At 37.7% G+C, this 27,548-nt stretch overlaps 1 long non-coding RNA gene across 1 annotated transcript, besides 1 other annotated feature; it reads right to left on the reverse strand.

The window, feature by feature from the left end:
- Positions 1-991: 991 nt before the first annotated feature.
- LOC124901385 (uncharacterized) lies at positions 992-26,635 on the reverse strand. The gene is made up of 2 exons (XR_007059720.1): positions 25,675-26,635; positions 992-1,416 (listed from the first exon to the last, which is right to left on the reverse strand). It is a non-coding gene; the product is annotated as an uncharacterized LOC124901385 (long non-coding RNA).
- Positions 13,241-13,742: an enhancer, noted in NCBI's record as "NANOG hESC enhancer chr6:116235207-116235708 (GRCh37/hg19 assembly coordinates)". NCBI's record gives its function as "activates a minimal SCP1, AML or CMV promoter by ChIP-STARR-seq in primed H9 embryonic stem cells {active_cell/tissue: H9 hESC(primed)}" and the evidence as "EXISTENCE:reporter gene assay evidence [ECO:0000049][PMID:30033119]".
- Positions 26,636-27,548: the final 913 nt, after the last annotated feature.

Genomic DNA, 27,548 nt, shown 5'->3' on the forward strand with positions numbered 1-27,548 from the left:
TGACTAATAAATATATTCTCTCAGGTTGGTCTTTTCCTTGCTTATGTTAGAAACAAGGTGTGCAGATGCCTCATGTGTGTTCTCTCTATTTCACTTTTCCCTCCGTCAAACCTCCTGAAGCAATAAAACAGCTAACTTCACCTTCCTCAATGATCCTTTTATCTCATCACTGCAGTTATCCTTTCTGTCAAATTACAAATAATGCTCACAAATTTTAACCCACCAGCCAGAATGGCCCCAGTTCTAACCCAACTCAGAAACTAGCCTGAATAGTCACCCTTCTTAGAGAACTCTTCCATTTTTATCTCTGGGATATTTTGCATCTCATGCTGTATAACTATTAGTGTAGTTTTTGAAATGGATTTTATTATAAATAATAAAAGCTTTACAATAACATTGCACAAAACTACACTGCCAAAGTGGTAATTCATCACCATAAGCAGCAGAGTAAAAACAAAAAACAAACAAACAAACAAAAAATCCCAGAAAATTACATGTCTCCCTTCAAGATCTGCCTACAACTCTCTTCCACAGAGGTTTTCTAGACACTCTGTCACTGGCTGTGATCCCAGACATGCCCTCACTTCTCATGAAGCCTCCTACCCCTGCAGTACTTGGCACTTATTCCAGCTATGTCTGTGGTTGGTGGGATGCATGCTTACATTTGTCCATTCTTTGCAGGTGCTTTTCTGTGTTATGTTTATGGACTTTTCTATACTGTCCCCCATTAAAAGGGAGTGTGTGTGTGTGTGTGTGTGTGTGTGTGTGTGTGTGTGTGTCTGCACGTGTGTGCGCGACTTTTCTGTTCTGCCATTTTCTAAACACATAGTAACTGCAGATTCCTAGAGGACCTGTGGATCAAGAATGCTTCTCTTGTACTGGTTATTGATGTGCCCAGATAAATATTGGATACCTTCCCTAAAAGAGGCTTATAATCTAATGTGATTAAACATATTTTAAACGGTACATAGCAGTCAACAGAGTCATTATATTTCAGTTGTTAGCAGCATGTTTATTTGATCTGAAACACATATCTATAAAGTAACCTCTGTAAGTGAAAGAACAAAGGAACATAATATTCTCCCATTTTGTAGTTTTAAAAGCTGTGCACCATCTTTCTTTTTGAATTGCTGCCCCATCATGTTTGAGAAGAGTTGGCTGTTTCCTGCTTAGCTCCATTCATTTCCTTGACATCCTTTGATTCGGGCCTGGCTCCCTAGCCGCAATCCTTCCTTGTCACAGAGGTCCTGCCAGTGCAGCTCATTCAGTAGCCATCATCACAGTGAACTCTATCCCAGCAGCTCCAGATGGAAGATGGGGATAAACAGCTCCCCCCAGAGTGTTCTTCGATGTGATGCCATCAATCAACCTGCAGCTGGGACCAAAGAACCACTCAGTGATGGAGCCAGTGACTTCCTGCCAAAAACATAGCACATTTCTTAGTGCCCAGCTTCCTCCAAAAGAGGGATGTCATACCACATATTTTAGCATTCAAGAAGCCCTCAATACCTAAGATTTATGTCCAACTGTATGTAATCATGACCATTAATATTCTTTCAGGTTTGATTTTTTTAAGTATAACAGATACTCAATGTGGTAACTGTATCCATTTTACTTCCCTCTGGAAAGGAGAATTGTCTTGTTTGCTTGTTTCTTTAATAAATCACAATATAGAAAATCAAATAATCAGCTATTTTCCAAAGCTAGTTAGTACATTAAATTATTTTTATGATGCATTCCTGTTATCCTGTTACAGAGAGTGTTAGCATCTGCTGGCTGATGACGTGCAGCAGTGGTAAGCGGTTCATTTTTGTCTGCAAGTAGCAGACAGAGGGTGGTCCTTCTTTAAGCCAAGATCAAAATTGATAGTGAACAGTTGGAACTCTGCAGCACAAGAGGCTTGGCACCCACACACTGTAGGGTAAACATCCTTGTGTTGCCTGCCAGGGATCCATCCCTCTCCACCATAATGTGGGAAGGAGGGTGGTGCTGTAAAACATCACCATGGGCTATATGGGTAAAGAATAACCATCAGTGAAAAATATTAAACTTCATATATAATTACAGTTTCCACACAAACATGTTAAGTCAAGTCATGGCACTTGCTTCTACTTACTAACATTATTTAGGTTAGGCTGATAAAAGTCATTTTCTTGGAATAAAGACTGTGGTATTTAAGAATATCCTCCCCCAAATTGTGTATAGCTTCCCTTCTATTCTCTTCTCTAAGATGCTTTGAGTCTCCCTCTCCCAACGTCCTAATTTGCAAGCAGTAGGAGAATTCTCCTGAGCTCTGCAAATCATCCATTTCTGGTTCTATAAACTAAATTTCCTTTTCTCTGGTTAAAGAAGAAGAAATCAGTCCACATACAGATAAAGAATGTCTATTTTTACAAATGTTTTTTCCATTTCTACTTACACACACACACACACACACACACACTTGCTTCCACCTAATTTCTGCTTCAAAAGAGAGAGGAAATTCTAGGGAAATTAGACACATTAATTTCACATGATTGTGTGCGTCTGTTAATGCACATGAGAGATTCCAGGTGGGAGTAAAAGCATATAGAATCAGAGAGCTTGGATTGAGTTGCATGATAAGAAGGCACAAAGATCAGCTTATGATATTTGGGAGTTGTTCATGTCAGCATCTTCACTTTCCACAGGTGATAAACTGATGCCCACAGACATAACATTAGTTGCTCCATGAAGTCACACTGAACAGGCCAAAGACTTTGGATCATTAAGTTATGTCATAGCCAATAGCTGAAATGAAAACTTCATGAAATCATTTGGGAAAAATTGTTCTCTCAAGACAATATATAATTACTTATTCACTCCTTCTATTAGCATCTCTTGAGCAACTAGTATGTTCAAGTAATTATGTGGCTTATGAAAACATGATTGAGTCCCTTGCATCAAAAGAGAGATAAGCCTAGAAACAACTATAATATAAGGCAGACAATAAACCCAAGATGTATGTAAGTTAAAACTCACTACTTAGCATTCTTATATCAAGGCAATAACCCATCTGATAAGGGAAACAATAGAATATGAGATATAAATTTGGGAAATCTCTGAGATTCTATTATATACAAGCCATTTAGATTCAGGTCAATTAAACATGACTCAATATATTATATTGCATTCAAATTCTTCAACAATTTCCATTACAGGGACTTAGTACAATATCTAAAAATAATTTACACATAAATTCTAAATATCCACTTTCAAGGTGAAAAATATACCCCTCTTGATGGGTGCTGGATAATTGTTTTATAAATTCCAAGGTGCTAGATTATGCATAAAGTGGACTTGTCCTAGAAATTGATCCCTAAAGAAAGTACATGCTCTTTTATTTAAAACATTTTTATGAAAATCTCTGTAAGCTTAAGGTTCTTTGATAAATTATGTATATTTTACATTCTCACAATGAGAGTTTAGAAAAAGATCAGGCCTTTGTTTAGGGCACCTTTTTATTAGATGAGAACCAACAGAAATAATCTTTTTTTTTTTTTTTTTTGAGACGGAGTCTCGCTCTATCACCCAGGTTGGAGTGCAGTAGCATGATCTCATCTCAGAGTAGCTGGGACTACATGCACACACTGCCACGCCTGGCTAATTTTTTGTATCTTAGTAGAGATGGGGTTTCACCAAGTTGCCCAAGTTGGTCTCGAACACTTGAGCTCAGGCAATCCACCCGCCTTGGCCTCTCAATCTGCTAGGATTATATGCGTGAGCCACTGCGCCCGGCCCAGAAATGATTTTCTGTTACACAAACCCCTTTCACATTCTCTGACATAGGATTGCACCAATCTGCACTTTTCCTGGCTGAACACCTTTGCTTAACACTTCCAGAAGTCAAGAGGTTGTGTTGCTTCGAGTAGGCACTGCCACTTGGACCTTTGCTGATTCAGAGCACGAAAGCCTCAAAACGTTGATGTAGAGGCAAAATGTGTTAAAACTCAAACAAAATGTGTTAAAGTCATTTACAGACTAAGAGGATCAGGCTAAAGATTGTCTATTGATGAAACATCTACATACAATATCTCATTTTGTCTTCACAATGGCCCTGTGAGATAAAGTACTAGACAAGTACTAGAAATCCTGCCTCAAGATGAGAAAAAAGAATTCCTTGACTATAATTCCAAAAAAGGCCAAGGGAAAACTGAGCCTCAATTCTAGGCCTTCTGACTGCCAAGCCTCTCTTCCCACCACACCATATATTAAACAAAAGGCAAACTTTGTTCATTATCACATTTTTAAAACTTGACAAGAACTTAAGAGTCTTGTCAGATTTTATAGTCTGTGCCAGATTTCATATGATTATATTAAAGTGACACAAAAGAAGTATGAATTCAATTCTTAGCCAGAATATTTTCATTGAGGTAAGAAGCCAAGACATTTATAAACAGAATTCTTAGTGAATAAGTAAATATAAAATAGGTTGCTAATTATGGAGTACAGTCAATAAATACAATAGGTAAAAACAAATGTGAAAGTTCAACCACAACATGAAACACAGCTCCCGTGTGAGAATAGATTGATGGCTCCCACTAGCACTTGAAGATGGAAATTGTTTGACTCTTTCATTTAGGGAGGAGGGCAGGGAACAGGATTAGCAGTGGACAAAGCTCTAGATACAGATACGCTGCCTAGAAACCCTATTGCCGTTTGGTTTCTCACTGCTGAAAATTTACAGATACAAGAAAAAGTGAAGCAGAAATGCAATGTAAATTATTGAAGTGGTGCTGCCGTTTCCCGAAGCAGCTGGGATGGTCTGTCCATAAAACATTAACATGACATTTCTGAGTTTTGACAGGTCGTTTGGAAAAGAAAGGGTAAAAAATACACAAGCCCTTTGGTGGGAATGGAGACATTTGTTCAGATAAAAACAAACAAGCACTATGGCTGGTCTGCATGCCAGCTTCCACTGAAAAACAGGAAGAAAACATGAAAATTTAAAGCCCAACACTGAAACGGATTAAACTTGATTTGTTCACTATACTAACAGGCAGGATTAGAAGCATCCACAGCTTTTCTCTACTCTTTCAAGAAAGATGCCCTGCTGCCTAAACTGTGCTCAGCATTTAATTTATGCCCCTAGAAAATAATTGAGCTGCATGTCCTTTGTACACAATGAATTAATGTGTTTATTCATTGTGACTAGAGAGGATACAGGATAAAAAGTGTTAGTTTCCTTAGGTAGCAAAAAAAAAAAAAAAAGATTTCTCTCAGTACTGGTTTATAGGCAGGGCCAGCCTTAATTTCATGTAGACCATCATGAAGGATATTGACAAAAGACCACCTGCCACAGAATATGTCCTCCACCAAATAATCACCCCTAGAAACCAGAATCATTTTTTGGATGTAGGCACTGAAGTTCCAAGAAGTCCTCATCTTTAATGAGAACACATTTGTTGCAGTAAACATACCATAATGCTCTGAGTGTGAATCCATTGGCCCCTAGTCCCATTTCTATACAAACAATCTATACATATATACACAGCATTTGGGATTTTTAAAATATAGCTCAGCCGTGTTATAATTTCTCAAAGAAAAGTTTTATTAATGTCAAAATATCTTTCTTTAGAATATTGTCTACAAAATTTGCAAAATCAGGGCATTCATTGAAATAAACAGCAAGATGTGGTGAGATAATTTTGTAGACAAATGTTCTGCCACATTGGTATAAAAATTGGCAGCAGGGCAATGCGATTCTTCAAATTCTCCTTATATAAAAAGTAAGCCAAAGGAGAAAGTCAAATTACAAATAAGTAGGTTAGAAATTATTATGATTCTAAATGCTAACACCCTACAGTGAAATTTTTTTCTTGCAATTTTTACAAGCGCATGTAACTAAAATTGATAAACTAGATTAGATTCATGGTTCCTCCATTTTTGTACCTTTTTCTGAGAGTCACACCAAGATAGGTTCATGGGAGATGTGATTGTTCCACAGAAATCAACTAATAAAATGTAACTGATATACTTCGAATAGCTTAAGCTTCCTTAAATTACTTATTATGGTTCAAAAAATGACTTATTTAGACTTTCTGTGGAGTTATTTATATTTCATATCTTCTCACTGCTTTAATAAGCATAAATAACCAGAAGTGTTCACAAATTATAGATGCAGATAGGCTATGTGTTTCACACTGGAGTCAGTTTTCTATGTCTTTCCAGGATTTGGTTTCCTGATACAATGGCACTCCAAGAACTAGAGTTCGGGCCATATACTGCATGCCTATGTGTTCAGCCTTGTCCAAGCCTTAAGAATAATTTGACTCCAGTGCAGGAATAATATGATCATCTATAAACCAATATTTGAATTGACAGCTAATCCTCTCTTTTATTCTTACATCATATTCTAGCAGCAGTTAAGTAATTGCCTTAGGCCCAAGATCCTGGGATAGGCCTCCCAGCATCCTTTCCTTGCCTCTCTGTCTCTCCATTTTTCCCCTCACTCCTTCCCAGTTCTGTCTTGGGGCTACAGTCTTGTTTCTCAACCTCAGTTCTCATAATTCTTTCTGTATTGTCTCTGCCAGTAGCTCCTTGAAGTAATGTAAGACTCATTCATCTATAACATAATTTCACCTCGTAGCTCCTGCTGAACCCCACCCTAATGCTGTGCCAAGAGGATTCCTCTGTTCAGTCCTAGACTTCTGAGATTTGGTGTTAGCGCCCATGTGCTTGTTGGGGCAATAAGTTCTAAATAGATGCCACTGACATCTTTATATTACATCCTTACATTTACATGAAACTTACCTCTAACGGGTTAAAATAGACAGTCCCTTGTACTTGGGATTGGAATTTCATGAATGACACTTATTTCTTTCCTTTATGTTTCCTTTAACTATTTCCCCTCCAGCTTGGCTGACAAAACTAAGCAACTCTAATTTTTTCAAGGTTCTCCTTGCCATCCAGCTCTCTCACACTTTAGCTGCACTTTTCAAGTCCTTATTCAATCCACTTATGCTCCACCATCATGACCTAATTACCTCTTAACGGGAGGGTGGGACCATCACACTGGTGATTAAACTTCTACATATGAATTTGGGGGGACACAAACATTTAGTTCATAGCAGTGCTACAGGAAAAAAGAAAAAGTCATATTACTATCTACAGAATTTATAACTGATTTTAATAACAAGTATCACTTATATTTTATGAAAAATTTCTAGAAACTTGAACAGGAAATTTGTTAAAAGGGGGCAAATTTTCCAGTTCAGTGACTACCAGGTATCTGGACATTTGTAATTAGGATCTCCTGAGATGAATTTTCTTTAATGGGAATCAGACATCTCTCAGCCTCCCCAGTCTGGCTGTAATAGTTTCCAATTTTCTTATTAAATATTATGTTTTGAATTTCTACATATTGCTTATTGGTGTCATTATGTGTGACTCTTATTTTACAAGCTCTTAGGAGAATTAAGAAAATAACTTTTATTTGGATGTGTACAATCAAAATATAACTGATAATTTTTTCTTTTCCATTTTGAAAGAGAAAAAAAGAGAGAAACATGGGTATATGGACACAGAGATGAAGATATAGAAATAGAAGTGGAGAGGCCAGTGCAGACAGAGTTAGATAAGTGTTGACTACCATTGCCCAGTCTAGTTAAACAGGCTGTTGGTAAAAGGAAGAGGTACTAATGGCCATCGTGATTTGACACAGACAAATATGACATGACATATTGTGGCCACTAAGCTATTGGCTACTTCACTACATTTTAAACAAGGACCCAGATTCTTTGTTCTACCAAGAACAAATGACATATACCTTGAGTACCACAGAAAGACTGGAAAGAAAGGGAAAAAGTGAGAGACTCACTAAACAGGTGAAGGAGAGAAAGGTATATAGAACTAAAGAGAAAGAGAGAAGAGAATGTGGAGAGGAGGCAGAGATTATAAAAGAGAAGATGGTATATGAGGCCCAGAAAATTCCGGAAGGGTTGAGTAAACTTGTCTTGACACATCCCCAATTCATCTAGGAGGTAGGTTGTTTGAACTTTCAGCTTCCCTTTATCCTTGTCACTTCTACAATAACCAAATGAACAATATTTGAAGGAAATTATGCTTCCAACTGAACAGCAGTGACCAAACACTAGGGGACAAAGATATCAGTCAAGGACTGACCCCTCCAGATACCCATGTACCCCTCCTCCCCACTGGATGCACCTATTGCTCTTCTCCTGGCTATTTTAAACAGCAGTACATGAAGCAGCTGGAGAGAGACAGGAAGGTGGCTTGTGTTGGGATTCCTAGTAACTGAGATAATTTTTTTTCCTTTAGAGAGGCAAATTAACACAACGGCCAAAACCCTAGACTAAACATCAGAGGCCAGCTAATAATCCTTAACCCACCACCTGCCCACTTGCAAGTCACTTAACCTCCTCGAGTAAAATTTAGCTATAAAAGGGGGCTAATTATTTTAATGAACAAATAACTTCTGTGTTAAAAGCTGTTTTAAAAGTATGCAATGTTATAGCAATTTAACAAATTAGCAATAATGAAATGATGAGTCAAATAGCGGTTTCCAAATGTGGTTAACTTTAATGCCTTAGCAATTGCATACGGCCTTTGAGGTTAGTGGCATACACACACACACAAACCTGAATGCTGTCATATCACAATTTTAGAAAAACTACAATAAGTGTTCTTGAAAAGTAATGTTCTCGTACATTTTGTTGGTATAAGGAAGATACATAAGAGAAAAACAGAAAATTGTGTGGAAAGGTTGATTAATGGGTACAAATATACAGTTTGATAGAAAAAATAAGACCTAGTGTTTGAAGACCAATAGGGTGACCATAGTTCACAATAATTTATTGTGTATCTCAAAATAGCTAGAAGAGAGTAGTTCAAATGTTTCTAGCATAAAGACAAATATATAAGGTGATGGATATCCCAAGTACACTGATTTGAAATAGATAAATAATTATTTTAAAAGAAAATCATAGCTATGTAATGGGAAATCAACTTTGTGGTTCTTATCTTTGCTTTTGCTTCTTGTTTGCAAGAGAAGTTCAAGAAATCATGGGTACAAGGTTACATTTACTGCAGAATTTGCAAGCATAAATGCTCAGGTAGGTAGGGAGGAAATATCATACATAAGAGGAAAACAGCCAAAAATTTTAAATTATATTCTTGGTAACTCATTAATACAGAATCATATGTACAGTGTTGCAGCTTCTCTTATGAGATAAAAAAAAAATTCACTTCAAGTGTTTGACACACCCTCAAAATGCTGGTAATTAGTATAATGGCTTTTGCCAAAGAATGGAACATATGCAAGATCGTACATAGTGTGTTTATAATTATTCATATCAAAAGGAGTGCCAGGGTGAACCCAGCTGAGCAGTGTGAGAGGCAGCTCCCTATGGTGAGGCGACAGTAGTTTGGTTCCTTCTTTTTCAGGGATAGCGTGCCCCAGTTGGTATCAGAAGGCTTCCTCATTGTTATCGCTTGTTCCTGCCTCCAGGACAGCCCCTTCCACAGGCCCCCCACCGTGGGGCCTTCCATCCTGCAATGAGCCATCTGGAGAAGAAAGCCTGGCCCAACTCCCTCTGGAAGTTGTTAGCTCTGTGTCATAGTTGGCTCCTAGGGCCTCCAGGGAGATGACCCGTTCACGGGCTTTCTTCCCATGTCAGGAAGCTGATTGTACCCTTCTCGCTACACTGTCAGCCTCTACTCGTTCTCCAAATTATAGAACAACTCTCTAAAGCAGACATGGGCTTCCCATGGGAAATGTAGGCTGCTACCCTGAAATTTCTTCTTAACAAGCATCAGGACCTAGCGGCTAAATTTAAGGAGAGAAACAAATGCCACCTTATTTTCTCTGGGTAGCTTTCAGAAATTTTTAAATTCATATATATATATATATATATATATATATATATATATACACATATATATAATATAGATATATGAAAAATTTAAATTCATTTATATGTATATATCTTTATATTTTATATGGAAAGAGACCGAATAATAAAACAAGCCACACAAATCTCTCAATGCAGTAGTCTAAAACCATGAATTTGTGAGTTAGAAAGACTTGTGTGTTTCAACACTGACTAGCTCTGTGATCTCAGGCAAGTTACCTAACTTTGCTGTTCCTCTGCTCTTGCATTTGTAAAAGTGTGTGTGTGTGTGTGTGTGTGTGTGTGTTGTGTATTAAGATTCATGGAAGGTACTTGAATCATAGAACTCTGAGTGCACAGATCAGACACACCAGAGAACTGAGTGCTCCTCTACCACATTCATTCATAAAAAGTACTTATTTAATGTTCCTACTAGATAGTAAGCCCCTGTATTAATCCTAGGGAGGAAAGGTAAACAAAAAACCTTTCTTCTTCCCAAAGAAATTCTTTCTCTAGGGGTGATATGAAACTATACAGTCCTAAGGCAGGTTTTGACAACAATCTTTCACAATTACTAAGTGTAGGGCTACAGAGTATCATAAATGACCATCTGGTACAATTCTTTATACTGTTTAGGTTCCTTCTCTTTACTGCCCTTACCAAAGGAAAAAAATATCAACCCCCTCTATAGTAAGATAGCTCAAAATGACCATCCTTAGAGAAACTTCAAGCTTCCACAAAAGGATTACTGCTTAATGCATTACTGGTTACAAGGCCCTTTTCAAATATATGTTATCAGCACCCTTTTCAAATAGTCTTTTTCAAGTTTATTCACTTCAGTGCTTCCCCCACTGCTCAGTACCATGAGGTCTCCTCTCCTTTCCCTGAATGTCACAATGCCTCTCCTCCCCTGCCAACCACTAGGCAATGGGGGAGGTAATCTTAAGTAGCACTTGCAAGAGAGAAAACCTGCAATTTCCATCTGTCAGGCAACTCAGGTGTAAGGGTCTCATCCTCCTTTCTTCCTGCAATATGGTTCTTATAAAAGACAGTTTCTGTTTAAAATTCTGAGGGCATGCTCTCTTTTCCACAGCACTAACAAGTGGTCATGTAGCCTGCCTGGGCTTGAACATGCAAACTTCCACTAAGCACCATTCCCTCTTTAGCTCAGGCAGACAGCTATAAACCTCTTCCTTATACTGAGCTCAAGGTTGGTGTTGTGCCTTTCTTGTCACATATCCTGCTAATGCTCCACCAAGACAAATTTCCTGATGCCCCTCACAACCCACTCTCCTCTTTTCTCCCCAAGACTCTGCTCTTGCTGTCCCTCCCTCTGGCTTATCCCTCCTGTCTCCCCTTTCCTTCCTTGCTTATTTTAAGATTGGTCTCAGGCATGGAACTCTCCAGGAAGCCAACCATGACCACCCCCAAAAAAATTGTTCAATAGTATTTGTTAAAGTACAGTAAGGAAGATTTTACTCAGGACCACTGCTATAGGTATAGAGACCACTGCAAAGGGGTCTTGCAGTGAGGGAGCGATTGGGCTCAACTTCGAATACAGCTTGGGTAAGTGGGAATTTATAGCCAAGGAACAGGATAGGGGTCAGTAATAGAAAATTATTAAGAAGAAACACCAAGGGTAAGGGGGATTCTGGCTAAACCAACTTAACCACATTCTAAAACTAAGACAGGGTGGTCAGACATCACCGGTGGATGGTAGAGGATGAGGAACTCAATCAGATATGGATGGTGATTAAGGGTTGGAGGTTCTTGGTAAACTACTTTAGCAGAGTTCCTTGCCAAACCTGCATTTTACAAGGAAGTCCACAGGTAAGCATAGGTGAAGGTTCAGAAGCCTAATCAAAGATTAGCCAGCAAACCCATCAGCCCAAACCCACTCCTACACCCTTATCTAAGGTTTGCTCAGCACTCCCCAAACTTTCTGTGCCTATCCCTAGTGTTTTACTCTCCCATTTCAGTTTGTTGTGATCATCTATGCACCTGACACCCCGATTCTAAACTGTAACCTTCTTGAAAGCATAAGCCATGTCTTATTCCACTTGACATTCGCAGTGCCTGCTACAAAACAGTCCCTCAAAAATGCTTGCTGAAAGAACAAACTCATTTTTTTCCTCCTGTAACTATCATTCATTGGTACAACTTTGATCGCATAGAACTAAAAACAAGGCTCTTCCTCTTTGGCAAGTCATTCATACATTTGAGGACAAATATCATCTCATGTAGTAATTCATTCATTTGTTCATTTGATTAGCAAATATTTGATTAATAGTCTCCTACATGAACAGTGTAATTGTAGATACCATAGAAAAGAATAAGTAAAGAATAAACCTTGCCATTGAAAATTTTATAATTTTGGATAGTTTTCCTCGGTTTTCCCTTCTCACTTATAAATTCCAACCCCTCACCTCATCCATCCCATTTAAACAAATATTTATTAAATTTGATAATACATTCAAATAGTCAAAATAAAATTAAACAGGATGCACTGAGAAAACTTATTCCTATCCCTGACCCTGTCTACATTATTTCCACTCTGCCTGCTATGGATAACCTAATATTTTAAACTCATTTTTATTATTTTGGGATCTCTTTATGCAAATAAAGAATTAACAAATGCATATATTTTATTTCCCCCATTTTAAATAAATGAAAGGTAACTTTCTGTATATACTATTGTGCACCTTCATTTTTTGTGTGCTTAACAATATAGCTTGAAAATCTTTCCCAATTAGTACATAAAGAGCTTTCTCGTTCATTCTTTAATAACAGCAGGTTATTTCATTATGAGGTTGCATCATAGTTTATTAAATTAGTATCCCAATTTTCGGCTATTGCTGCAGCCCCATAGTCTCCCAATTAAACATAGGGTTGCATTAGCTTTAAAGCAATCGTGTTACCCTGCTGGCATCATTAATATGCAAGCTTTTACAAGAAAATGCTACTCTTTTCCACATGAAATAGAATGAAGTTATTTCTCCTCCATTCTTTACTTTAAATGATTGATTTTGGTATAAAGGAGAAATTTTGCATGTATTACCACTAAACTTCATTTTTGTTTGTTTCAATTCATCATTCTCACATTCCAACATGACTTCTTGAATCTTGACTCTATTATCAATCATATTAGCTGCTCCTCACAGATTGGTGGCATATACAAATTTGATAAGTATGTTTTCCATTTTTATCCAAATAATTGATCTTCTTTTTCTGCCAGAATAAATCTCTTTCCCAGAGGAGGAGATCCTTCTTCTTATACCTTTGATTTCATCCCTTCAACGTTTGCTGGTTGCATGTTCCCTCAGTTAGTCCTGCTTTCCACAACACCTCCACTTTCCCTCTCTATTCATATCATTCATAGGCTATCCTCAGAATACTTCCCTTTCCCTTTACATCCACCTTAAATTCCACTGGACTCTGCTAACTTCTTAATTTATTTTCTTTCTTTCACAGGAAAATTTCTCAAATGCAGGTCTGTACTCAAGGTTTCCACTTCCTTCCCTCCTGTTCTGGATACCACATGACCACCAATGGTACCAATCACCCTCAACTCACAAGTCTCCCCTGCTCCTCCACGGATGTTGAAACATCAACAATTTTGCAACACAAGGCCCAGATGCCTCGCAGACAACCTCTGATTGTTGCTAAGTAGTGGATGCCTGATCTTGACAGACTTAGCTTACTTCCTGTTGCCTTCCTCCCAAACCAATACACTCAGTGAGAGCTTTTGATTTTGTGGCCCCTGCTTTAAGGTAAACAAGACTGAGTTCTAAACAAATTCTCCAAAACTACCTCCACATGACCCCTTCAAAGCAATTGTCTTTGCATAATATGCATTTATTCCAGAGTATGGCCATTGCTCAAAATATTTTAAAAATCTGTCTCTAATGCATCCTTTTATGTAATCTTAGTGGTAGAAAATAGTTTTTCATTAAAGAGTATATTTAAATTCACATTTAAGCCAAAAGTTATTTGAAAAAGTAAAAGTTTAATTTGACTAATGTTTTTAGTAAAAAACAGAGAGCAATTTGCAGTGTAGATTAATTTTCCTGTGAAACTGTTTTAAGGCAATTCTGCAAAAAGAAATTAAAAATATTATCTGAATAATGTCAGCATGTTTATTAAAATAAGTATAGTTTTTTTAAGGAGACTACCTTGAAAGTGAACATCCCTTTGAATGTATTTGATTTGGTTTGTTTAAAAATAGAGTCTCTTTACTTACCTAACTGGAATAATGAGACTACCATCCCCACCATTCCCAGTTTCCCCAATACCACCTTCAGTGGGGGCCAGGGAGGAAGAGGCCCCTGGTCTAAGAATTTACTAGCTCCAGTAAGCCTTCATGTTGTGAGGAGAGCAGTCACTGACAAGTATATGATCTAGTAATGGACCATATACTTATTATAAGGAATTTCCTTGCTCAATTATAAAGGTTAAAAAGTCCAAAGATCTGCAGTCAGCAAGCAGGAGACCCTGGAAAGCCAATGGTATAGTTTCAGTATGGGTCTGAAGGCCTGAAAGTCAGAATAGCTGATGGTGTAAGTTCCAGTCTGAAAACCAGTAGGCTCAAAACCCAAAAGTGGATTTTTTCTTTGATTTCAAAGGCAGAAAAAGATTAATGTTCCAAAACAAAGAACATTAAAACTATATATACATAGTTTTATATATTTTTTATTATATACATATATATAATGAAAGAAGATTAATGTTCCAGCTCAAGTAGTCAGGCAGGAGGAGTTCCCTTTTACTCAGCCTATTTGTTCAAGTCTTCAATTGATTGGATGAGGCCCACCCACATTAGGTGGATGATCTGCTTTTCTCAGTCTATTGACTTAAATGCTAATCTCATCCAAAAATACCCTCAAAGACACACCCAGAATAATATTTGACCAAATGTCTGGGTACTCCATGGCCCACTCAAGTTGACACATGAAATTAATCATTAAGTCTTTTAAAATTCATTTATTTTCATTTTTAAAATATGGATTTCTGGCTCCTCTTGCCATAATTCAAATATTACAGCAGGGGAGACTCATTGCTATGTAGTAACAGAAAGGTGGAGAAGGTAGAGGTTGCCACCATCCTCACCCTGCTCTGTGATACTGTGCCCTGCACTCACTTGAGTTTCTTGACTGGCCTCTGCACCATCTGAATCCGGCATCTCCCAGTTGAAGCTGTATTGTTAATTAGAGTTGATGTTGGTCTTTGAGAGGTTTGTGCATGTGTAAATGTGTGTGTGTTCCTATAGTTATTATCTTTGAGACAATGAGAAAAACGAAGAGACATATACACAACTTATATAATGGGGAGTCTTTCAAGGGGAACTGAAATCGAAGTGCACATAGCCACCTTAATGAGTTTTAAAGGATCTGAAATATCAAGATCCCTTCTTCCTATTCCCTGGCTACCCTGAGATGCAGAGAGTGACAAAAGGACACCACAGACTGTCTTACTGGAACTCCTGTGGCATTATTCTAGACTGAATTATGCAGACACAGGAACATGTAGTGTTGGGGAAAGGGGGCTTGATCTTGAGGCAGAACAATAAATTCTAGAGCTTTTGCATTGATTGGAATAGAAGTGATTCTGAAAGTGAGTAAATACCCAAGGACACTGGTTACTAAGCACTTTTAAAAACATTGATTTCTCAGTCCTTAATTTCAGGCAAATATTGACTGTTCCTTAATGCTAAGAGGCATAAGTGAAGATTAAGCGCTGAGCCAGAGAGCAACTTTGGGCTAAAGAGAAATAAATTCAAATTCCATTACAAAAGTAGTGAAATCCAAGTGCTGAATAAATTAACACGTGGTTTCTACCCACCTAGATACCTGGGATCCTCTAATACTTCCTTCCAGTACTCACCAGTAACCTCCCAGGTAAACTTATATAAGCTTCATTTTGCCCTCTGGTGGAAAACGAAGTTCTAAAGTTCCATTAGGCAAAAAAAGCATATTATATTCTTTTACTCCACATGGCTCTTAAGTAGGATTTTCATATAACAATGGCTCAACAAATATACACTAAATGAATGAATTTAATTTCCTTAAATATGTTTCTCATAGTTAAATTCAACAGTCATGTTAGCTGAGGGGCCACTGAGTAAAGAAAATAAAATTTTGATAGATAATTACACACACACACACACACACACACACACACACCAGTTAAAACACCACTCTACCTTGCTGTTATTTAATCAGCATGGCAAAGGTGAGAAGAGGGAGTCAATTCTCAAACTTATAAATGTGTTCTCAGTCACAGGTGCATAATTACTTTGCAAAGCCTATTAATTAAATCTTCCAAGTATTAATAGACTCCTAAGTTAACATGTTTTCCCCCACAATTGTGTTCACCTAATTCATACTTGAAGGCAAAGGTACACACAGAATTTCTAACTCATCCATGTGCAGAAAATTGTAGAGTAATCAGAAATCAGGGACAGAAGACTCACATTGAAAAAACAAGAGATAAAGGATAAAGAGAACTCAAAGCTAAATTACAAAGCATTTTTATGATGCTTCCTTTTGTTGGAATTGTGAAACTTTGGTGATTTTTGCAAAGGGAAATAATGTGATGAATTCATTTTCTAGATAAAAATAATTTGGCAGCTTCTTCAGACTCTCCCCTTCTGAAGTACGAGAGATGATGGGAGGGTGCTACCTTATGTAATTATATTAGTCCATTTTCACACTGCTGATAAAGACACATCTGAGACTGAGCTATTTACAAAAGAAAGAGGTTTAACTGGACTTACAGTTCCACGTGACTGGGGAAACCTCACAATCATGGCAGAAGGCAAGGAGGAGCAAGTCCCATCTTACGTGGATAGCAGCAGGCAAAAAATGAGAGAGCTTGTGCAGGAGAATGCCTCTTTTTAAAACCATTAGATCTCATGAGACTTATTCACTATCATGAGAACAGTAGGGGAAAGACTTGCTCCCATGATTACATTATCTCCCACCAGGTCCTTCCCACAACATGTGGAAATTCAAGATGAGATTTGGGTGGTGACACAGCCAAACCATACCAGTGCTACCTTATGTAATCCAATGATCCAGGTGGGAGGTAATGGGTTTACATTAGGGCATTACTGGTGAGAATGGAGACAGTGACACATAGCATAGATGTTCTGAAGGAGCAAGTAATAAGGATTCATGCCTGACAGAATGCAAGAAAAATGATCAAGTGTAATATCAAAGTTTCTACTTTGTATGATTGAGATAATGAAGATTCCATTGATAGAAATATTAGAAACAAATTGTCCATGGATATGCCTGGTCTTAGATGGCAGAAGGACATATCTTCTTTGTACGTAGTTTCCTCCTCCATAGAGAGGAGAAAATAGCATCTGTTTTTCAAATTTTAACGAAGATTAAATGAGATAATATAAAGTACTAAGAACAGTATCTGGGATGTCCTAAGCATCATCTAAGTCTTTGCCAATGTGTAAATACATTATCATAGACAGTTTCAGGTGTAAGAAGATAATTTAAATATGAGGTTTTCAACTACAATATAGATTTGAGTATCATCAACCTCTTTCCTGGATCAAGCCCTTTGTATTTGCTAATTTTTTTCTCCTGTCCTTCAAATGGCTAGATTATTTTTCATTATTCAGGCCTTATCTCCCTTGCTACACCAACAGAAACATTTCCATGTCTAAATTAGCTCAGATTCAAAATTCCCACATCGGTTTGTCTTTATACCACCCCATTGTTATCAGAAATCTTGCCCCAATGGTAATTGTTGTTTTTAGTTTATTAGTTTACTATTCCCACAAACTGGGATACCATACTAGGATGTGAGCACCAAAAGACAAAAAGTTTTGTTGTTAGTGGTGGTGTTAATGGTGGTGGTGGTGGTGGTGATACACATACAGAAACACTGCAATTGACAAAAACTCAGGTGGACCCTCACAGAACTGAGTGAAATGCTTGTCCAGGCATTACTAGGATTTATATTTTCACAGTTTCTCTAGTTGGTTCACCACTGAATCTCTGGCACTTAATATGGTTCCTGATACCCAATGAGAAGTTGCCTCTGTTAAAATCAGAAGGGTGTGCAGGAATAAGGGACTTAAAAGGGATAGAAAGCCACACACAGAAGCAACAGATGGAAGGTGTCATTGACTGTAGGTAAAAATAGCAGGAGGAGGAAGTGATGTTACCTGAGCTCTGGAGTGGGAGAAAAGGGGCCAACGACAAGAGCTGAAACCAGGATCTCAGTTCAACAGTGAGGAGATGAGAGGAGAAATAATCACCCCAACTCACTTTCCCCCCATCCTTCTATTGTCCAAGTCTAACCCAATACCAGAGAACAAGGGAGATGAGTGATACAGCTGTAGAAGTCATCCGCCCATGGCACAAAGCACGGCAAAGAAGGATTTGCAGCAAGCAGAGAATGACCAGCACAGCACTCAATGAATACTTGTGGTTTTTAAATCTATGTGTACATGAGAGTTAACACTGAAGGAATAGACAAGAACTCTAGCCAAAGTGTGATTAGATATGAACAAGAAATCAAGAAGCAACTATTTTTAAATGCCCTTATCTAGGGAATGAGAAAAAATGGAAGTTTAAGAGAAAAATATGACATTTGTTGAGGGTCACTACACTTTTCCATCACTATTTTCCATGGGCTAAAATTTTAATAGTAAATATTTTTAATAAGCAATTTTCCTTTCCCACATTTTGATTGAGACAAATTTCCCATTCCTTTTGAGGCTTATGGTGTTCATCTGACCTATTTAAAATGTAGAGTTCTGCCTTTGATAGTCTACTGGTAGGAAAAAAAAGATGAATATAATAAAAAAGAGGAAAAAGTCAATTGATTTCTACTACTGTCTTTTAAAAATTAAAATAAAATTTGTCAATTGATTACAGTCACCATATCTCTAAGCAAATTACCCTCAGGAATTTTAAGACAAACTTAGAAAAGATGAAGTAGATAAGACTTAGAAAAAGTGAACTAAGCAGATGTCAAAATGTCCTGCCTTCTCAGATAAGTCAGAAAAGCAGAAGAGTGAAAAATCATGAAAAATATAACAGATGAAAAAGGGAGGTCAGTTTCAAACTTGCAGATTTTAAGTAGATAGTTTCCATATTTGGAGATGGAGTAGGCTACACACTGAGCCATTCTAAGCAAATTTTACTTATAGAGAACATTCCCTACAGAAACTATAATATCTATATAGAGTTACTCAGAATGTTTGCAAACCTTTGGCAATCTACAACCCAAGATAAGATCTAAGTGTCTTGGTAAACAACAGGTCTCATTAGGCTCTTTGAAGCTGTGGTCTGTTGATGAGATGTTTCAAAGAGGACAGAGACTGTGTTGTTTTTGTTGTTAGTGGCGGTGGTAATGGTGGTGGTGATGGTGGTGGTGGTGGTTGTGATACACATACAGAAACACTGCAATTGACAAAAATCAGGTGGACCCTCACAGAACTGAGTGAAATGCTTGTCCAGGCATTACTAGGATTTATATTTTCACAGTTGCTCTTTTATAAGACCTAACATTGCCAACAGTGCCCCATCATAGCTCTCTAACATAAACTGTGATAACTAAAGCCCGAAACATTTCATTTTTTATAAAACTATCTAAACTTAGGCACTCAGATTATTTCATATGAGTTCTATTTGAAACGTCTCTAGAAATTTTCTAGGATGAAAATAAATCTGATAATTTTTATTTATCAAGGAAATAGGCTTGTCAGTTCTCTATTATCCACGTCCGGGGAAATTGAGAATGATTTCAAAGAATCATCAAGCCCTTGGAATTTGGTTTAAGAAAAACCTCAACCATACAGCAGTGCTGGCAGACAATTAGAGAGTATTTTAATGCTCTGAAGATTAATGACATAATGAGAAGAACTTTAGCACCATTTTACCTTTATATCCCCATAATATTGCCCTTTTGGTTACAAAAACTGCAGCATTCAGGCAGAAATACTGGGTCAGAGTGAATTATCCTTAGAATGTGGGGCCGAGACTTAGTCGATCTTTCTAGGCCCATTATCCCTAGGGGCTAGATAATATCTGGCACATAATATGCACTCAATAAATAGCTGCTGAATTAAAATGAATGAATGAATGAATGAACGAATGAATAATCACTTTAACTTGATCTAAAACACTCATCTCGAGAATGGAGAAAATTAGTAAATAGCGAATCATACTGGAACCTTGAGTGAAGACAGCCTGAGTATAGCTGAATTTCGATTATAATAATAAATTTGTTTGACCTAAAATTTTCCTTTATGGTTCAGGAAGCCCTCCTTATAGAACCTTCCCATAACATGGAACCTGCTCAGTTTAAGATTTAACAGAGCAATTCTTTCCTGACATCCAAGCCTCCTCACATTTTTAAGTCACAAGCCCTAAAAACTGATACTAACTATATCAGGCTTCATGCGTATTTTAGGAAAATTTGTGAATTTTTGTTCTTCGCATGATTGGAAATTGAGACAACAATGTTCTTCTTTTATCTAGTTAGGTAAGTGAGATGATCCCATCTTCATCCTAAATTCAGTCTCTTATGATCCCGACCCTAGGTAATTTTTTCTTTGATTTCACATTGAGAGACAGAAGTGAAGATAAAGAATCCTTATAAACTTTAGCCCAAAAGGAAAATGAATTTAATCCACTTGTTTTTATTTATTCTGGAAACAGGTATTCTAATTAGTGAATTGGGAGCTCTCTCATGTGCTTCTCTGCAGAAAGCTTTCAAGGAAAGATTCAGCTCCACTTGATTATCTATGGAACCAGAGTTGTGAATAGATGACTAATGGAGAATGTCTTTTGACTTGGCTCTCAAGTTGCATTCATCACATTCATTCATGGCACCAGTTCTACGGATGTCTTCTCCAGAGGCAGAAAGTTTCGCCATTTGGCCACCAGCTGATCTGGATATAGGCAAACCACACCATCTCCAGTATCCCTTTAAGAAAATGTTTCTCTTGCCATCTGCCAAGAAGCCAGAAACTGTGTTTTTAGTTGTGAAGGTTTGGATTGTCCTCTTTTTTATTTATTCAAGAAAATAATATGTACTGGTTGCCTACTTCATGCCAGGCACTCTGCTAAGAGTTGATCTTATGTGATGTGAGGCCAACTACCTCTAGGAGAAAGAGATCATTTTAAACTACAAGTGAGTTCTGTGTATGAGCATGAACTGGAATTCAACTCAGATTGTTCCGAAACCTTCTGTGTGCTGGGCATTCCTATATTAATTATTCCCTGTGATACCCATATTTTATAAATTTTTAAAAATGAGAGAGCCTGATTAGTCACCTCCAGATCAGAGAGTCATGGAGTAAGCCTCCTTCTTCACACACTGAGTTCTCTCTACCAAAACTCACTTTTATGTGCTACGTTTACTACCTTGGAGTTGTCTTCCCTACACTGGTGTTTCTCTTCCATTATATATGCCAAACTTGAAGAAAATGTGAGGCAAATAAATGTTATTTTATGAGAACCAAGAAATTTCAAAATTCTCTAGAGACTAAAATTTTAAAATAGGAATAAAATGCAAAGAATGGTTACAGTATTTTGAGAAATATGGCAAATGAAGATAGATTAAAAGTAGACTTAACTGAAAACTAACTTTTTAAATTTAAACAGATGCCTACAAACTAAACAGAATCTCTGATGAACTTAAAGGGTCAAGTTATTTCATGTCCTAAAAGAGGGGTCTGGTTGAAAACCCTAATTAAAGTTTCTAGGATAAGTCCCATAAACTTGAAACTCAAACTGGAAGCCTATATGTGTGTGCCAATTATTTTTCAGGCTAGATAGAATACAAGTCCTTGGCTTAAAATTCAATTCCCTTCAAAATCTGGTGGTGATTTCTTCTTCCAACTTGGACCAACCCTCCAATCTGATTTCATTGTGTCTCCTGAGCCCTCATAGTGGTCCATGTATGTCTGGGTAATAGCACTTACACTATATTGTAGTCATTGGTTATTCATCCATGTTCCCATAGATGATAGTCTTGGAGGACAGAAGCTGAATGTTTAAAGCTAATATGTTTTGAGTACATAGCCCTGTGCCAGACATTGCTCAAAGTGTGTTTCTTACTTAATTCTCAAAACAGTTCTGTGGTCTAGGTAAATCCCCATTTTGCAGATTAAAACAAAACAAAACAAAAAAACAAGTAAACAAGATTAGGTGACCTGACCAAAACCAACAACTCCTAATTCAAACTTAGAATTTAAATCCAATAAATCTAGCTCCAAAGCTTAACCACTTAACCACACTGTCTTCTTCTGTTATTCATATTTTTATTCCCAATGCTACCCAGTCCCTAGCACAGAGCAGATGCTCAATAAGTGTTGGATTGAAGAGTGAATGAAAGCCCAAAGCATTTCCACCACCAGCACTCACCCACCTCCTTATATCTCAACCTTCACAGCAGGAGATTTACTGCCCAGACTAAAATTAAATTACATTGCTTTTCTTAACTACACACTGACGAACTTGTGAAAGGAGACAGCTCAAAAATATGCTATGTGGCAAGGGAATATCAGTGCAGAACTAAGTTCCTCACACATAACCCACTAAGTGGTATTTGAGAGTTGGCTATATTTGATAACACATACTTAGATCCAAATATCTCAAGACCTTCATGAAATATTCATAGCTTTATGTTCATGAAATCCTCATTGCAATTCATAAATACTAACAACAATATTTTACCAAGAGAAAAAAATGCTTATAAAATTAAGTGATATGATTTGACAAAGGCCTGTCAGTAAATCTTTGGCTAAGACTGAAATAGATGCTGTAAATCTAACTATGTAGTCTCAAGAGGGAAGAATGAGTTTTCTCTCACGACCTCACCATCTCTGCTTAGCTACGTTTTTTTTTCTTCCAGGTTCCCTTTCTTCTTTTTTTCCATGGGATCCCATTTCTACCCTATGCCAAACACAGGAAAGAATGAAGTAGAGAAAATGGAACAATCCCTGCAGAAGTCAGAAAGCAGAAAATTCCTCAATTCCTCAGAGAACATTCACCCTTTCCTTTTCTGCTGCCTTCATATTCCCCTGCAACTACTTAGTAGTTATAAAAGTGTTACTGAAAGCTTACTCTGTAGGTAAATCAAATGTTCTCCTAAATAGGCCCAAAACCAAAACTTTCTTTGCCCAGCAGTGTCTCAGAACCATATTGGGATTCTAACATTCCACATATTTGCATCTATTTTTACCCCCAGAAAAAATAAGACAAACCAGATATGAAGTCAACTTTCCATTGACATTTTTTCCAGCATTAACCAAGTAGTACTTTTCTTTCTTAAAATCTTCTTGCTATCAGGACACATGGACATGAGACTGCCAGAATTTAACCAAGCAATGTCAAAAATGTGAGAAAATATAATTGTATCATTTGTGCAGAAAAAGTACAGAAATTTTTCTACATCTTCATCTCATTAGAAATTTGTTTATCAGGATAGAATGAACCTGAAGGACATAATTCTTCTTTATTGGACACATTGATTTATAATCCTAATATTGAGTAGATAATAAAGTACAGATCAACTAGTTTTCAGATCCACCAAAAAGTATCTATGGAATTTAGACAGTCTTAAAGTGTTAACACAAAATCAATATTTGACATATTAATATACTTAAATTTTATGCTGAAATGCATTAAGGGTTTAATGGAAGAAAATAAAATTATTCTAAGGTTCCAAATTAAGTAGAGTTAATGCCACAAACAACATATCATTTTCACTGTTTCCTGATGTAAAAGTTCTAAAGCACAGCGGGAAAAAAATTGTGCAGTTTTTCACTGGTGTAATAATTTAAGACTCCTATGATTGAAAAAATTGAACTATGATTAGTTGTCAGTTTTGAGTTAGTATTAAAAATGTTTTACTTTTTGTGTTAATAATAATTCAAATGCCTGTAATTTAAAAAAATTAATTTCACAGAGGTCTATTCATATTTCTTTGTTAAAAGAGTGAATAAGCAAAGAAAGAGAGCAAAGATATATAAAGAGCATTTCAACGCATTTGAAATATAATTGGGCATGTGGGAAGATCTTCAATATGCATCATAAAAACACATATAAAAATAAGAACTGAAATATTAGAATCTCTATAGTAAAAAAGGAAAATCCATGAGGGCTATATGCTATTAACTCTGTTTTGGTGAGGAATACTCAGTTATTTTGATAATTAGAGTTTGGTGAGTCATGAACTGTGTAATTTTGCATTTTTTCTAAAATGTAGGGCACTGTGTTGTAATCTATAATCAATGCCTTCATTGCAGATCTGAGCATAGGTACTTAAAATTAAGGGAGCACATTTTCAGTATTTTTTAATGCACTGAATATGATATCAGAATTTTAGATTATTTCTAAAGTCCTTTTCTTTTTTCTTCTAATCATAAAGTGTTTGGCAGCAATCTGGGCCCCCATCTGCTGATCAGCTTGAGAACTCCTGAAATTAATTTATCTGTTGCTCTAATTTTTGCTATTACTTGATGTTGGTACCCATCCCCATTTGCACAACATTGCACATCATACATGTTTTACAATAATATTTGTAATGTGCAGCCATAAAATCAAATCTTGAATTTTATCTTTGCAATTCTCTAAATTAGGCACCATAAGTTTCTCTAAAATACAGGGAAAAAACAACTCGAGACAACCTTATTTATGCCATTTCTTTAGGATTTAGAGAGTCTATGAAGCAGACTCATTTGAAGAAAAATGCCCCTTGAATTACTAAATATCCCTTGCTTGTTATTATTTTTGTTTCCGAGTTTCATTCCATAAGAGGAAAGAGCTTCTGATAGCCTGACTACATGATCTCCAAGGTTCCTATCAGTTCTAAAATTCTGCAGTTCTATGAAAATAGATTGATGAAGATAATGCCCAAGGAAGATTTTATTGCAAGATCACTTCTGTCTGACTCAGCCCCCAAAACTTAGGGTTTGAACTAAGGATATGTTAAAGCCAAATAAGAACACTTCTGCATTATTCATAAGCCAATTAACCAGATAAAAGAAGAAACATTTCTCCAAAGACTTTGATGATATGTTTTCTTAAAATAGCCTTGCTTTTCTTTGTTTTGTTTTTCCTTCCTTTTCCCTTTTATTTTTTCTTATAATTGCATTATTTGGGATGATTCAAATATCTTCTCTCTGACACATTAAAACTTCAGCTTCTTGTTACCTCTTTGACACTGTTTTAACATATTCCAATTGATTTCATACTTCATCTGCAATAAGCCATATTGTTTCAATTAGACCTAACATCCACATTCAAGAAAAATGAAAAGATATTTTACTTGGATTTAGTTGAATTTTTTCTTTTTTTACCTCTTTCTCTAGTCTAGATAAAACATATTTCTAAAGAAAAGCAAACTGCTTACTCTCAGAATATTAGCAAACTAGATTAATGTTTGGGAAACAGGTAAGAAAATGTCACCATGAAACTCTTATATGGTTAGTCCTGGAATAGGAGATGTATTCGTTCAAAATACGTTTTTACTATATTCCAGGCTTAAATTCCCCTAAGGCAAAGAAATTTTGTTTAACAAAGAAGGCCTATATTATGCAATCCATACAAATTCAATAAGCAAGATAGCAGTTAGTTATTCTTTCAGATTTGAGTCACCAATCGTTCGTACATTATTCTATGTATTCTATTTTGGCCAAAATAACCTCTGGCAATCATTTATAGAGCATTCAAATGAGACCTAGTCTCTCCCATTTTTAGAAACACAAACACACACACACACACATTCTCTGAATTTCAAATCCACAGTTAGTTATGTCTCCTCTCACCTTCACAGCTCCATGTTGGAAAAAGTTGTCAGTCCAATAAATGTTGCCCCCAACCTCATATCTCTCACTTGTGCCTCAACCCACTGCAGTCTACTGTTGATCCCACTTGTCAGGTGAAGATGCTCTTCTTTAGGGCCTCCACGTTGCCAAAAGCTAACAGCAGTCTTTAGTTAACATCTCAAATTAAATGTTTCATGACATCTTAAACTGATTAACTAACAAGCTCCTATGATCACCACTACCCACCAGCTTCCTTTCTGTAGTCCCATATTTTAATTACTCCTGGAGGACATCCTTGATACATAATTCTTCCTGGCCCACATAGCCAAACAGTTGGCAAGTTCTGCTATTTCCACCTCCAAATGTCTCACGTGCATCATTGTTTTCATTATCTCCTGCCTTCCACTAAGCTGACCCACTATTACCTCTCTCCCAGACAATCCATCCTCCTAAATTATCTCTCCATATCCATTCTTATCCTCATCGAAGCCATACTTTAAATAAAATAATATTTTAAGGTCCAAATTAGGTCATATTGTGTCCGGAATTGGTGGGTTCTTGGTCTCACTGACTTGAAGAATGAAGCCACGGACCCCCGCGGTGAGTGTTACAGTTCTTAAAGGCAGCACGTCCGCATGTCTGGAGTTTGTTCCTTCTGATGTTCGGATGTGTTCGGAGTTTCTTCCTTCTGGTGGGTTCGTGGTCTCGCTGGCTCAGGAGTGAAGCTGCGGACCTTCGCGGTGTGTGTTACAGCTTTTAAGGTGGCGCGTCTGGAGTTGTCCGTTCCTCCCTGTGGGTTCGTGGTGTCACTGGCTTCAGGAGTGAAGCTGCAGACCTTCGTGGTGGGTGTTACAGCTCATAAAGGCAGTGTGGACCCAAAGAGTAAGCAGCTGCAAGATTTATTGCAAAGAGCGAAAGAACAAAGCCACCACAGTGTGGAAGGGGACCCAAGTGGGTTGGCACTGCTGGCTCCAGCAGCCTGCTTTTATTCTCTTATCTGGCCCCACCCACATCCTGCTGACTGGTCCATTTTACAGAGAGCCGATTGGTCTGTTTTACAGAGCTGATTGGTCCGTTTTGACAGGGTGCTGATTGGTGCGTTTACAATCCCTGAGCTAGACACAAAAGTTCTCCACATCCCCACTAGATAAGCTGGATACAGAGTGTCCCCACAAAGGTTCTCCAAGTCCCCACCAGAGTAGCTAGATACAGAGTGTCCATTGGTGCATTCACAAACCCTGAGCTAGACACAGGGTGCTGATTGGTGTGTTTACAAACCTTGAGCTAGATACAGAGTGCCGATTGGTGTATTTACAATCCCTTAGCTAGACATAAAGGTTTTCCAAGTCCCCACCAGAGTAGCTAGATACAGAGTGTCCATTGGTGCATTCACAAACCCTGAGCTAGACACAGGGTGCTGATTGGTGTGTTTACAAACCTTGAGCTAAATACAGAGTGCCAATTGGTGTATTTACAATCCCTTTGCTACACATAAAGGTTCTCCAAGTCCCCCCCAGACTCAGGAGCCCAGCTGGCTTCACCATGCGGATCCCGCACCAGGGCTGCAGGTGGAGCTGCCTGCCAGTCCTGTGCCCTGCACCCGCACTCCTCAGCCCTTGGGTGGTCAATGGGACTGGGCGCCCTGGAGCAGGGGGCGGCGCTCCTCTAGGAGGCTCCGGCAGCACAGGAGCCCACGGCGGGGAGGGGAGGCTCAAGCATGGCAGGCTGCAGGTACCCAGCCCTGTCCCGCAGGGAGGCAGCTAAGGCCCAGCGAGAAGTCGAGCACAGCAGCTGCTGGCCCAGGTGCTAAGCCCCTCACTGCCCGGGGTGGGCGGGGCCGGCTGGCAGCTCGGAGTGTGGGGCCCACCGAGCCC

Source organism: Homo sapiens, chromosome 6 (assembly GCF_000001405.40).
Source record: "Homo sapiens chromosome 6, GRCh38.p14 Primary Assembly".
In the NCBI taxonomy this organism is placed as follows: Eukaryota; Metazoa; Chordata; class Mammalia; order Primates; family Hominidae; genus Homo; species Homo sapiens.